Source organism: Homo sapiens, chromosome 14, assembly GCF_000001405.40.
Source record: "Homo sapiens chromosome 14, GRCh38.p14 Primary Assembly".
Classification (NCBI taxonomy): Eukaryota; Metazoa; Chordata; class Mammalia; order Primates; family Hominidae; genus Homo; species Homo sapiens.
Window position 1 is genome coordinate 62279129 of NC_000014.9, and position 13759 is coordinate 62292887.

Consider the following 13759-nt stretch of genomic DNA (forward strand, 5'->3'; position numbering starts at 1 on the left):
AAGCATTTTTTAAGTACCATTTCAGTAAGTTCCTGAAAGATAAGTACAGATTACTTTCTTAACTACTTACTGTGTGACCTTTCTAGGATCGATACATGATAAAAACTTGTGCTCATGGTGTATTATCTATTAGCTTTCATTCCATAGATATTGATGACATAGTAAAAAATTGGATAGGGATTTGTCTTAGTCTGCTTTGCCTTAGCCTCGTTTAAATACCATAGACTGGATGTTTAAACAACAGAGATTTATTTTCTCACATTTCTGGAGGCTGGAAATCTAAGATCAGAGTACTAGAATGGTGAGGACTCCTCCTGGCTTGCAGACAGCTGCCTTCTCATTGTGTCCTCACATGGCAGAGAGAACAAGCAGGCTCTCTGATGTCTCTTCTTACACAGGCACTAATTCCATTGAACCACGGTCCCACCTCAATGACCTAATTAACTCCTGAAGGGGGGCCCCATCTCCAAATACAATCACATTGAGGGTTAGGGCTTCAATATGTGAACTTTTTTGGCAGGGGTAAGGGGGGCGGGACACAAAAATTCAGTTTATAACAGATTTTGGATATATGACATCTTGTGTTTTTTCCCTTTGGGTAGAGGAAGGAGAAAGTTCACCTTCACCTATGAACTGAGATGGAAAATGAAATCTAATGGAAGGGGTCTTTGTTTGGGGAGGTAGTTTGGAAAAATGTGAGAAAAATAATACTGTTACATCGACTAAACAGCCAAAAAAAGCTTGCAAATTAGTGGAACTACAGAACAACAAATTATCTCAATCTTCTTTCCATTACTCAAATTATGAAAGTCAACTTTGTTACAAAAGGATTACCTTCAGAAATAATGCTATTATCTTTCCTACCGCTCCTTGTGGGTTTCATTTATTTTTGGTTTGCTCACCAGATACTCCTTTAGAAGGCTCTGCACATACATTAATCAAGGGTTTTGAAACTTCCTCAGGGAGAGTAAGAGGAAATGGGGGAAGTATTAAAACATCCATCCCTGTGCAATTTCTGCTGTTCATCCTACCTGCCTTTCCTGTGGGTTTTAGCCCTCTCTTCTACTTGAAGACGGGGAATAGATAATATCCTCTGACCTATTATTTGAAATCATTATTTAGTATGATTCCCACTCCTGGCTTCAATTTAGGGAACTAGAGAAGGGCAGTGAGCAGAAATTGGGATTTGTTATCACCCATGGTTCTGCATTAATGAGGCAGGATTCTGGAGCTCTGAACTACCACTGGCTCAGGAGGGGAAAACAGCAGTGTCTCCTCACTGAGAACATTCTGGCAGCAGCTCTGCCAACTCACAGTGTTGCTCTTCCAGCCACCCCATGATGGTGGATCACAGTGAAAGCTGGCAGAGAAAAAGGCATTTCAGATTTGAGTTGGAAAAAAGTTTAAGCATTCACTATTGTGTAGTGGTTAAAAGAATGGGTTTTTCATTAAACCTCACTTCAAATCCTGACTAAGCTCCTTACTAATTATAAACAATTCTTTCACTACCCTAAGCCCCAGGCTTTCCTCAATAAATGCAAGATAATTCCTCCCTTGTTAGGGGTATTGTGAAAATTTGATCTGATAATGTATCATGGGGTACCTGGCATGAAGTAGGCACTCAAACCACATTCTTTGAAGGATGAATGAATGGACATGTGTCAAGTGCTTAGTATACTAATTTGTACTTATTTATGTTCAGTATATGGAAGCATTTGCAGGCTATCACTGAGGAAGAATCCTACATCCTAGCTCTAGCTCATCTTCCTTGTACATATCCTCAAATGAAAGAAAAATTCATGCATCTGATTTGCCAGTTTCCATCATGCCTACCGAACCCCCTAATTGTTACAAGAGAGAGAACCTTGAGCATGCTTACATCTCCTTCCTTTATTTCATGTTGCCAGGGTGGTAGGGGCCACTTTCTCCATGCCCCTCCACTGTGTATCAAAAGGAGAAAGAATAGGTTTATTTTTGAAGCAAGTCAAATGTGTTCCTTTTATGCTCCTAGAACATGATAAGATTTGAATGTTGGCTGGGGGTGGGAAGGAGGGCCTCAGGCTCCTAGTTGAGGGCTCATGTCCAACCTAGCTTTCCTTAGACCCTTAGGTTATTAGGTACTGGATATGCCCAGAATATCTGGAGGTTCCTTTCTCTTGCCATCAGTTGAATTGCAACAATTATACTTACCTAAATATATTAGCTTGAGCCACACAAAACTGTCAATCATTAAACATTTTTATCTACAAAACAGTGATTTCATAAAGCTTAATAAAATTAAAGAGGAATAAACCACTTCAGACCAACTCCTAAAGCATGATACAAATATTTACTAAACAGGTTTCTTCAGAAGACATGAGAGGCTGATTTTCACACAGAAGTATTCCCTATTAAACCCTTTTAAACCTTCCCAAAGTCCTGTCTTTGTCAGACTGGCTGCTATAATAAAACACCATAGACCGGGTGGCCTAAACAATAGACATTTATTCCTCACAGTTCTAGAAGCTGAGAAGTACAAGAGCAAAGAGCTGGCAGATTTGGTGTTTGGTGAGGGCACTCATCCCATTAGGAGGGCCCCACACTCAAGATCTCATCTAACAATATTATTTCCCAACGGCCCTACCTCCAATACCTTCACTTTGGGGATTAGGGCTTCAATATGTGAATTAGATTGTGGGGATAAAATCACTCAGTCCACAGCAAGTTCCATTGTTCCTCTTCCTTTGGCTGTCACTACTATCCCTTTTCTAGCCCACGCTTCAATTTTCCAACCCACTCCTCCCTCTCTCTCTGGTATTAGGTTGTCTTTTCTTAAGTAGAACAATATGGTTTTCTTAGCTTCCTCATTTTTCCTCTCCATTTATCACCCCACTCAACACAATAAAAGTCTGGAAGCTACAAAAACAGTAAAATCTCCATCCCCTTTATAGAGGAGGGGAGTAGAATTGCAAATACTTATAATTTAATGTATTTCCCTAACACAGAAGAAAGTTCTCAGAATTATAAGTGACATTCTATTTGCAGTAAACACTTAGCTGGAGGGGTTACAATAAACCTTTACATTTTCAAGGTGTGACAGGGATTTCAATCTCTTACCAAGTCATCATTTTCTCCATTGTAGCATTAGACAGTTTGTGTCATGAAACTTGTCATCAGCGAAATGAGAGCATGGCAGTGGGGTCCCTGTAAAATGATAAACTCATTTCTTTTTTGTGTTTAATAAGTCCGAAAAAGAATCCAACAATTTTAGGACCACAGAATATATTTGCATATGTGTACACACAAAAACATGCCCACCTATATGTGTATATGTATACACATAAGCTCACTGTTATGGACTAAATTTTGTCCCCCTAAAATTCATATGTTGAAGCCCTAACTCCTTTTGTTACTGTATTTGGAGACAGGGTCCATAATAAGATAGTAACGATTAAATAAAGTTATAAGAATGGGGCTTTAATCCTGAAGGACTGGTATTCTCACAAGCAGAGGAAGAAATACCAGACCTCTCTCTCTCCTCCCCTCTCTAGGTATACACAGAGGAAAGGCCACGTGAGGACACAGTGAGAAGGTGACCATCTCTAAGCCAGAAAGAGAAGTCTCACTATAAACCAAGCTTGTTCGCAACTTGGTTTTGGATTTCTAGCCTCCAGACTGTGAGAAAATAAATTTGTTGTTCAAGGCACAAAAGTTTTGTTATGGCAGCTCTAGCAGACAAGTACACTCACGATCCCAAAACCTCAATGGCGACAACACATATTCTAGATTTGCAACATATGACGGTAGGAAAGACTGAGAATCTATCAATGAAAGCTTCCAGCAGTATAAGGAAGTCATTACATGTGCTCCATTTTAGGAGCATGTGGTTAAAACATAGCTTCTGGCCGGGCGCGGTGGCTCACGCCTGTAATCCCAGCACTTTGGGAGGCTGAGGCAGGCGGATCACGAGGTCAGGAGATAGACACCATCCTGGCTAACACGGTGAAACCCCGTCTCTACTAAAAATACAAAAAACAAAATTAGCCAGGCATGGTGGCGGGCGCCTGTAGTCCCAGCTACTCGGGAGGCTGAGGCAGGAGAATGGCGTGAACCCGGGAGATGGAGCTTGCAGTGAGCCGAGATCACGCCACTGCACTCCAGCCTGGGCGACAGAGCGAAACTTCGTCTCAAAAACAACAACAACAACAACAACAACAACAAAGAAAAACAGCCTCTAAGTCATCTTTTACAGGTATACAATACTGGTACTCATACTACCTGACTGGGGTAGGGAGTATGTGTGTATGTGAGAAGGGTGCTGTAACATTTCAGGTGGTACTTTTAGGGTGAACAGTGTAGCAGTCTGGAAGGTTGTTCTGGACTTTAAAACTATTCTTATACCTGCCTAGCCCCACCCACTGGTTAGACTTTGAGTACCCATGACTCCTGCTCTATTTGATAGAATCCTTGCTTGTAGGTGACTTTGGCTTTGGTCAAGGAATCTGGATCTCCTACAGCTCTTAAAGATTTTCCTTTAGGACCTGGTAACTCTGTTAGTCTTTGTCCTTTTCTGCTGGCCTGGCTGGCATGTCCTTTTCTGCATGTTTGCATGCTATTCTCCAGGAAAGCCCTGAATTCCACTTTGCCTTGTCCCTGTGGCTGGTGTGTACATATAGTCCAAATGCTGTCTGGGGGCAAAGCTCAGAGTTCAGGGAATTCTCAGAAGTCCCAAAAAAGTAACAGGATCTCAGGGTCAGAAATTTTCAAGAGAGCCTTCATCCATCTTCTCTGTGGCCTGAGGCAAGGGAAGGGGAGTCTGTTAATTTACACTGAGGGAGATTGTTATGAACAGAATGTTTGTCATTCTCTCAAAATCTGTATGATGAAGCTCTAACCTAAATGTGATGGTGTTAGGAGGTGGTGCCTTTGGAAGGTAATTACGTCATGAATGTGGCGCCCTCGTGGGTGGGATTAGTGCCCTTTTAAGAAGAGACACTAAGAAACTTGCTCACTGTCTGCTCTCTGCCATGTGAAAAATAAATGATGTTTAAGCCACCCAGTCTACGGTATTCTGCTGTAGGAGCCTAAGCTGACTAAGGAAGGGCTCAAATAAACAGGTAGGAGTTCCTGGGACATCAGCTTGAAGTATAGGACTTGGCCTGTCCTCTTTAATAGTGACTCACTATCCATTTGGTCTTCCAAGGTATATTTTTATTTCAAGTATTAGACACAACCATCCCTTTCTACCCGCTTCTCTTTCCACTCACTTCTTGGTAGAGCTGGCATTTAACATTGAGAGAAATGGGGACTTGGAAAAGGCATAACCTTTTGGTGACTTTTTGGGTTGGTTTTTTTTTTTTTTTTTAATTTTTTACTTTTTCTTTTTTTTCTTTTTTTTATTGTTATACTTTAAGTTTTAGGGTACATGTGCACAATGTGCAGGTTAGTTGCATAGGTATACATGTGCCATGCTGGTGCGCTGCACCCACTAACTCGTCATCTAGCATTAGGTATATCTCCCAATGCTATCCCGCCCTCCTCCCCCCACCCCACAAAAGTCCCCACAGTGTGATGTTCCCCCTCCTGTATCCATGTGTTCCCACTGTTCAATTCCCACCTATGAGTGAGAATATGCGGTGCTTGGTTTTTTGTTCTTGCGATAGTTTACTGAGAATGATGATTTCCAATTTCATCCGCGTCCCTACAAAGGACATGAACTCATCATTTTTTATGGCTACATAATATCCCATGGTGTATATGTGCCACATTTTCTTAATCCAGTCTATCATTGTGGGACATTTGGGTTGGTTCCAAGTCTTTGCTATTGTGAATAGTGCCGCAATAAACATACGTGTGCATGTGTCTTTATAGCAGCATGATTTATAATCCTTTGGGTATATACCCAGTAATGGGATGGCTGGGTCAAATGGTATTTCTAGTTCTAGATCCCTGAGGAATCGCCACACTGACTTCCACAATGGTTGAACTAGTTTACAGTCCCACCAACAGTGTAAAAGTGTTCCTATTTCTCCACATCCTCTCCAGCACCTGTTGTTTCCTGACTTTTTAATGATCGCCATTCTAACTGGTGTGAGATGGTATCTCATTGTGGTTTTGATTTGCATTTCTCTGATGGCCAGTGATGATGAGCATTTGTTCATGTGTCTTTTGGCTGCATAAACGTCTTCTTTTGAGAAGTGTCTGTTCATGTCCTTCGCCCACTTTTTGATGGGGTTGTTTGTTTTTTTCTTGTAAATTTGTTTGAGTTCATTGTAGATTCTGGATATTAGCCCTTTGTCAGATGAGTAGGTTGCGAAAATTTTCTCCCATTTTGTGGGTTGCCTGTTCACTCTGATGGTAGTTTCTTTTGCTGTGCTGAAGCTCTTTAGTTTAATTAGATCCCATTTGTCAATTTTGGCTTTTGTTGCCAGTGCTTTTGGTGTTTTAGACATGAAGTCCTTGCCCGTGCCTATGTCCTGAATGGTAATGCCTAGGTTTTCTTCTAGGGTTTTTATGGTTTTAGGTCTAACATTTGAGTCTTTAATCCATGTTGAATTGATTTTTCTATAAGGTGTAAGGAAGGGATCCAGTTTCAGCTTTCTACATATGGGTAGCCAGTTTTCCCAGCACCATTTATTAAATAGGGAATCCTTTCCCCATTGCTTGTTTTTCTCAGATTTGTCAAAGATCAGATAGTTGTAGATATGTGACATTATTTCTGAGGGCTCTGTTCTGTTCCATTGATCTATATCTCTGTTTTGGTACCAGTACCATGCTGTTTTGGTTACTGTAGCCTTGTAGTATAGCTTGAAGTCAGGTAGCGTGATGCCTCCAGCTTTGTTCTTTTGGCTTAGGATTGACTTGGCAATGCGGGCTCTTTTTTGGTTCCATATGAACTTTCAAGTAGTTTTTTCCAATTCTGTGAAGAAAGTCATTTGTAGCTTGATGGGGATGGCATTGAATCTATAAATTGCCTTGGGCAGTATGGCCATTTTCACGATATTGATTCTTCCTATCCATGAACATGGAATGTTCTTCCATTTGTTTGTATACTATTTATTTTCATTGAGCAGTTGTTCGTAGTTCTCCTTGAAGAGGTCCTTCACATCCCTTGTAAGTTGGATTCCTAGGTATTTTATTCTCTTTGAAGCAACTGTGAATGGGAGTTCACTCATGATTTGGCTCTCTGTTTGTCTGTTATTGGTGTATAAGAATGCTGAGAGATTTTGTCACCACCAGGCCTGCCCTAAAAGAGCTCCTGAAGGAAGCACTAAACATGGAAAGGAACAACAGGTAGCAGCCGATGCAAAATCATGCCAAAATGTAAAGACCATCGAGACTAGGAAGAAACTGCATCAACTAACGAGCAAAATAACCAGCTAACATCATAATGACAGGTTCAAATTCACACATAACAATACTAACTTTAAATATAAATGGACTAAATGCTCCAATTAAAAGACACAGACTGGCAAATTGGATAAAGAGTCAAGACCCATCAGTGTGCTGTATTCAGGAAACCCATCTCATGTGCAGAGACACACATAGGCTCAAAATAAAAGGATGGAGGAAGATCTACCAAGCAAATGGAAAACAAAAAAAGGCAGGGCTTGCAATCCTAGTCTCTGATAAAACAGACTTTAAACCAACAAAGATCAAAAGAGACAAAGAAGGCCATTACATAATGGTAAAGGGATCAATTCAACAAGAAGAGCTAACTATCCTAAATATATATGCACCCAATACAGGAGCACCCAGATTCATAAAGCAAGTCCTGAGTGACCTACAAAGAGACTTAGACTCCCACACATTAATAATGGGAGACTTTAACACCCCACTGTCAACATTAGACAGATCAACGAGACAGAAAGTCAACAAGGATACCCCGGAATTGAACTCAGCTCTGCACCAAGTGGACCTAATAGACATCTACAGAACTCTCCACCCCAAATCAACAGAATATACATTCTTTTCAGCACCACACCACACCTATTCCAAAATTGACCACATACTTGGAAGTAAAGCACTCCTCAGCAAATGTAAAAGAACAGAAATTATAACAAACTGTCTCTCAGACCACAGTGCAATCAAACTAGAACTCAGGATTAAGAAACTCACTCAAAACCGCTCAACTACATGGAAACTGAACAACCTGCTCCTGAATGACTACTGGGTACATAACGAAATGAAGGCAGAAATAAAGATGTTCTTTGAAACCAACGAGAACAAAGACACAACATACCAGAATCTCTGGGACACATTCAAAGCAGTGTGTAGAGGGAAATTTATAGCACTAAATGCCCACAAGAGAAAGCAGGAAAGATCTAAAATTGACACCCTAAGATCACAATTAAAAGAACTAGAAAAGCAAGAGCAAACACATTCAAAAGCTAGCAGAAGGCAAGAAATAACTAAAATCAGAGCAGAACTGAAGGAAATAGAGACACAAAAAACCTTTCAAAAAATCAATGAATCTAGGAGCTGGTTTTTTGAAAGGATCAACAAAATTGATAGACCGCTAGGAAGACTAATAAAAAAAGAGAGAAGAATCAAATAGATGCAATAAAAAATGATAAAGGGGATATCACCACCGATCCCACAGAAATACAAACTACCATCAGAGAATACTACAAACACCTCTACGCAAATAAACTAGAAAATATAGAAGAAATGGATAAATTCCTAGACACATACACCCTCCCAAGACTAAACCAGGAAGAAGTTGAATCTCTGAATAGACCAATAACAGGAGCTGAAATTGTGGCAATAATCAATAGCTTACCAATGAAAAAGAGTCCAGGACCCAATGGATTCACAGCTGAATTCTACCAGAGGTACAAGGAGGAACTGGTACCATTCCTTCTGAAACTATTCCAATCAATAGAAAAAGAGGGAATCCTCCCTAACTAATTTTATGAGGCCAGCATCATCCTGATACCAAAGCCAGGCAGAGACACAACCAAAAAAGAGAATTTTAGACCAATATCCTTGATGAACATTGATGCAAAAATCCTCAATAAAATACTGGCAAACCGAATCCAGCAGCACATCAAAAAGCTTATCCACCATGATCAAGTGGGCTTCATCCCTCGGATGCAAGGCTGGTTCAATATATGCAAATCAATAAATGTAATCCTGCATATAAACAGAACCAAAGACAAAAACCACATGATCATCTGAATAGGTGCAGAAAAGACCTTTGACAAAATTCAACAACCCTTCATGCTAAAAACTCTCAATAAATTAGGTATTGATGGGACGTATTTCAAAATAATAAGAGCTATCTATGACAAACCCACAGCCAATATCATACTGAATGGGCAAAAACTGGAAGCATTCCCTTTGAAAACTGGCAGAAGACAGGTATGCCCTCTCTCACCACTCCTATTCAACATAGTGTTGGAATTTCTGGCCACGGCAATTAGGCAGGAGAAGGAAATAAAGGGTACTCAATTAGGAAAAGAGGAAGTCAAATTGTCCCTGTTTGCAGATGACATGATTGTATATCTAGAAAACCCCATTGTCTCAGACCAAAATCTCCTTAAGCTGATAAGCAACTTCAGCAAAGTCTCAGGATACAAAATCAATGTACAAAAATCACAAGCATTCTTGGGTTGGTTTTATAATCTGAACCCTGATGTACTCATTCTACAAATACTTGTTGAGCATCTAGTATACACCAGGCAGTGTTCTGGACACTTAGCATATATAATGCTGAGAATGTGAGAAAATGTTGAGCAGGGAAAGGAAGGCTGGGAGTACATGAAGAAGGAGATGAGTTGCAGTTAAATATTGAGTGGTCAGGGTAGGTTTCTTTTAGAAGGTGACATTTGAGCGAAGAGTTGGTGGGGAGTTGGCTATGTATCTATCTTGATTAAGAGCATTCTGAACAGAGGCAATATTAGGACAACAAATCTGAGGAAGGAGTGTGTCTGACATGTGCAAAGTATGGTAATCAGGTTTCTATATCTGGAGTGAAGTCAGTGAGGTGTGGAGAGTAGAAGGAAAAGAAATGGGAGGAATTGGGGGATGGTGGCAGGGAGGGTAGTGAGCTAGATCATGCATGGCCACATGTGTAGAATGTTGTAAGGACATTAGATTTTAATATATAACCATCCCATATTGAACATGCTGACCCTTGTTTTCAACTTATCTTCTATAAATTCTAGTTCTCAATGTGTAGTCCATGGACCATTGCATTGAAATCACCTGAGAGCTGTTTAGACCTGCAGAAAGTGAGGCCCCACTCTGGACCTACAAACAGAATCTAAATTTTAACTAGATTCCCTGGTGATGGGTATGTCCATTAGCATTTGAGAAACTGTTGTCTCTTTCATCACTGTATTAGCAACAATTGCACCCCTATCTTAAGATTATGAAAATGTGCCAGTTCTGGAGAATATGCTCTGGGTGAGGGGTTGGTTGTCTCCTGCTGCCCTGGCTACATCACTGTTTGCATGAATGCGGTTTGCACATTCATAGCAGAGGTTTGTGCTGCTTCCTCCATGGCATGGTGTTGTGGCAGGGAGTCATGCACCCAGCCAGGGACAATATTTTCTGGTCTCCTTTGTATCTAAATGTGACTCATTAACTAGTTCTCATCAATGAACTATGGGTGGAAGTGTTGTGTTTTATTTTCGAGCCAGGAATTTTGAGATGAGAAAAGGAATTCTCTACTCGTTTTCCCCCATCAATCAAAATGCAGCAAACTCTGAGGCCATAATGGATGGAGCAGACTCAAGATGAAAGCAAGTTAGCTCCCCGAATCACTGTGTGAATCATACTGAGCTATTATGTGAATGGTAAGTCATTGTTTATTATGTAAAGTCACTGAAAATTTCAGGTTTATCTGTTAAAGTGGATAACATTATCCTAACTCAAAGATTTTCAGACTTCAGGAGACATCAGAATTACCCGGAGAGCTTGATAAAGCACTCATTGTTTGATTCCACTTTCAGAATTTTGGATTCTGCAGATCTGGGGTGAGGCCTGAAAATGTGCATTTCTTTTTATTATTATTATTATTATACTTTAAGTTCTAGGGTACATGTGCACAACGTGCAGGTTTGTTACATATGTATACATGTGCCATGTTGGCGTGCTGCACCCATTAACTCATCATTTACATTTCTAACATGCTTCTTTGTGATGCTGTTGTTGCTGGTTTGGGGATGTCACTGTGAAAACCACATCCCTAACTAAGAAAACATCTGTGAGAGAGTGGGAAAGCTCATGACCTCTAAGGATATGTCATTGACTCGAAAGCATGAAATGAAAATAAAGCCAACTTAGCCCTAACAGGGACCATTGGGTGCTACTGTATTGGCTGCGTCTCCCTGATGCTGCCATGTTCACTATAAAAATGGATTCAGAAAAGAAAATTGACATTCATTAAGCTTAACTTTGGAGGGATGATTTAACTGATATTGGCATCTCTGCTTTTTTAATTACTCCACCTTTTATTCTGTTCTTCCAGTTCCCTAGAAGAGAAAGCAGTTCATTTATGACCCTCAAAAAAGCTGTTAGCCTAGGGTGGCCCTGTTTGCATCAGAGGGAATACAGCTGAGTCACGGAGACAAGAAGCCAGAGGATCCTCTGCCTCTCACAGGAGGTGAGGGACAGGCAGGGTCTTTTCCTACCCTGAACTTTAACAAATTATCCAGAAGTTTCACTGTCATTTAATGTTATGGAATAAGTTTAAAGGATTTTTGCTGTCTCCACTGGAGTATTCTGGGCTAGGCTGAAATGAATTAACTTCATCACTTAGAAAAACTAGCTTTAGTTTTGGAAGGAGTTAGTGTAGGTTTTTCCAGATTGGACTTAGTCCTTTTAAGGTGCCTCATATAAATTAAGCCTTGGAATTCTTCAGAGAAATTTGTAATTTTTTAGCGCCTGTCTTCCAAAGTGCTATTATTAAATTATCATTCTGGATTGCTTCACTGACAGCTCCACTTCTTAAAATAGAGATCAGCTGTATTCCTGGACACTGGCATCAAATAGCTGACTTAGAAATGCTGGTTTCCAAATGGTCGCTTGTTTCTAACTACTATTTTTCTACTTTGAGTTCTCTTGATTTGTTTTAGAGGACATGACACATGTTTCTTCTCTAAATATCTTTGTGCTCAGTACCTATACATAATGAGTACCATTTTCATTTGCTTCTCTGTTGCTAATTGGTGCTTGAGCCTCCTTTTCCTACATGGGGTGTTTTTGCAGCTTTAAATCCTACTTCTAATCACCGTGATGTCAGGGCAGGTTCGGAATGGGCTTGTGTTGACATTGGCAATGCCCTCAGAAGAACTCAGATATAACCTAGCTGTGTTCCATCTTGAGAAATGGTAAAGAGGGTGGACCTCCTTCTTTCCCTTCTTCCCTTTCCCCCTCCAATACTCATTTACCACTTACTCTATGCCAGGCTCTGGTGATTCATCAGTGAACAGCATGGACACAATTATGGACCTTATATTCTAGTGGAGGACAGAGACAATGACACATTAAACAGAGAGACGGAGTTGAAATACAACTAAGTGTTCTGAAGAAGATAGAGTACAGTGCTAGAGACATATTGGAGTGGGTTGCTCCAGGTGATGAAAGAGATCAGGGAAGTCTGACTTGAAGAGGTGGCATCCGAGCTGACCACTGGATAGATAAGTGAGCTTTGTGAAGATCTGAGGAAAGAGTTTTGCAGGCAGATGGAAGAGCAAGTGTGAAGGCTGTAAGCTGGGAACCATCTTGGCACACTTGGGGAACATGAAGGAGGCCATGTGGCTGGAGTCTAGTCAACAAGTAGGGGAAAGGGAATTGTCTGATGAGATCAGCTCTGGCAGAAGCCATAGCACATGGACCTTATACACTGGCAAATTCCTTTAAATAATAATTTCAGTCAAAATCTCTTGGCAGCTGAAAGGACTGAATTTATTCTCATTATTTTTGCTAATGCAACCTGCTTAACTGGCTGTTTAATTTCCTAAATGGTGCTCTGTCTTTATTAGTGGGTGATTTGAGAGAAAAGCCTACTTTAACGTTTGGTACCAGCATTCTGGGTGCTTCTTCTTTCCTCTCTTTCTGTCTTGGGAACAAAGGGGCAAAGATAACTTAGTTATCTTTGGAGGTTAAGAGCCCATTACCATGCTGTTTTGGTTACTATAGCCTTGTAACAGAATTTGAAGTCAGATAATATGTTGCCTCCAGCTTTGTCCTTTTTGGTTACGATCGCTTTGTGAGTGAGCTACAGGTTCTTTTTTGTTTCATACAAATTTTAAATTTTTTTCTAATTTTGTGAGAAACGGAAAAATGATCTTGGTATTTTGATAGGAATTGCATTGAATCCATAAATTGCTTTGTGTAGTATGGTATCATTTTAGCAATATTGATTCTTCTAATCTATGAGCTTGGGTTGTTTTTCCATTTTTTGTGTCATCTGCAACTTCTTTCATCAGTCCTTTATAGTTTTCCTTGTAGAGAGCTTTCACCTCCTTGGTTAAGTGTATGCCTGAGTATGTTATTTTATTTTGTAGTTATTGTAAATGTGATTAACTTATTGATTTGGTTCTCAGCTTGATTGCTATGGGTGTATAGCACTGATACTGATTTTTGTATGTTGATTTTGTATCCTGCAACTTCAGTGAATTCATTTATCAAATTGAGGAGTCTTTAGGATTGTCTAGGTAGAAGATCATATCATCAGAGATAATACATAGTTTAAAAAGCCAAAGTGCTATAAAGTGTATAACACCAAAAACAACAGCAACGACAAAGTGTCTTGCCCCATCCCACCATA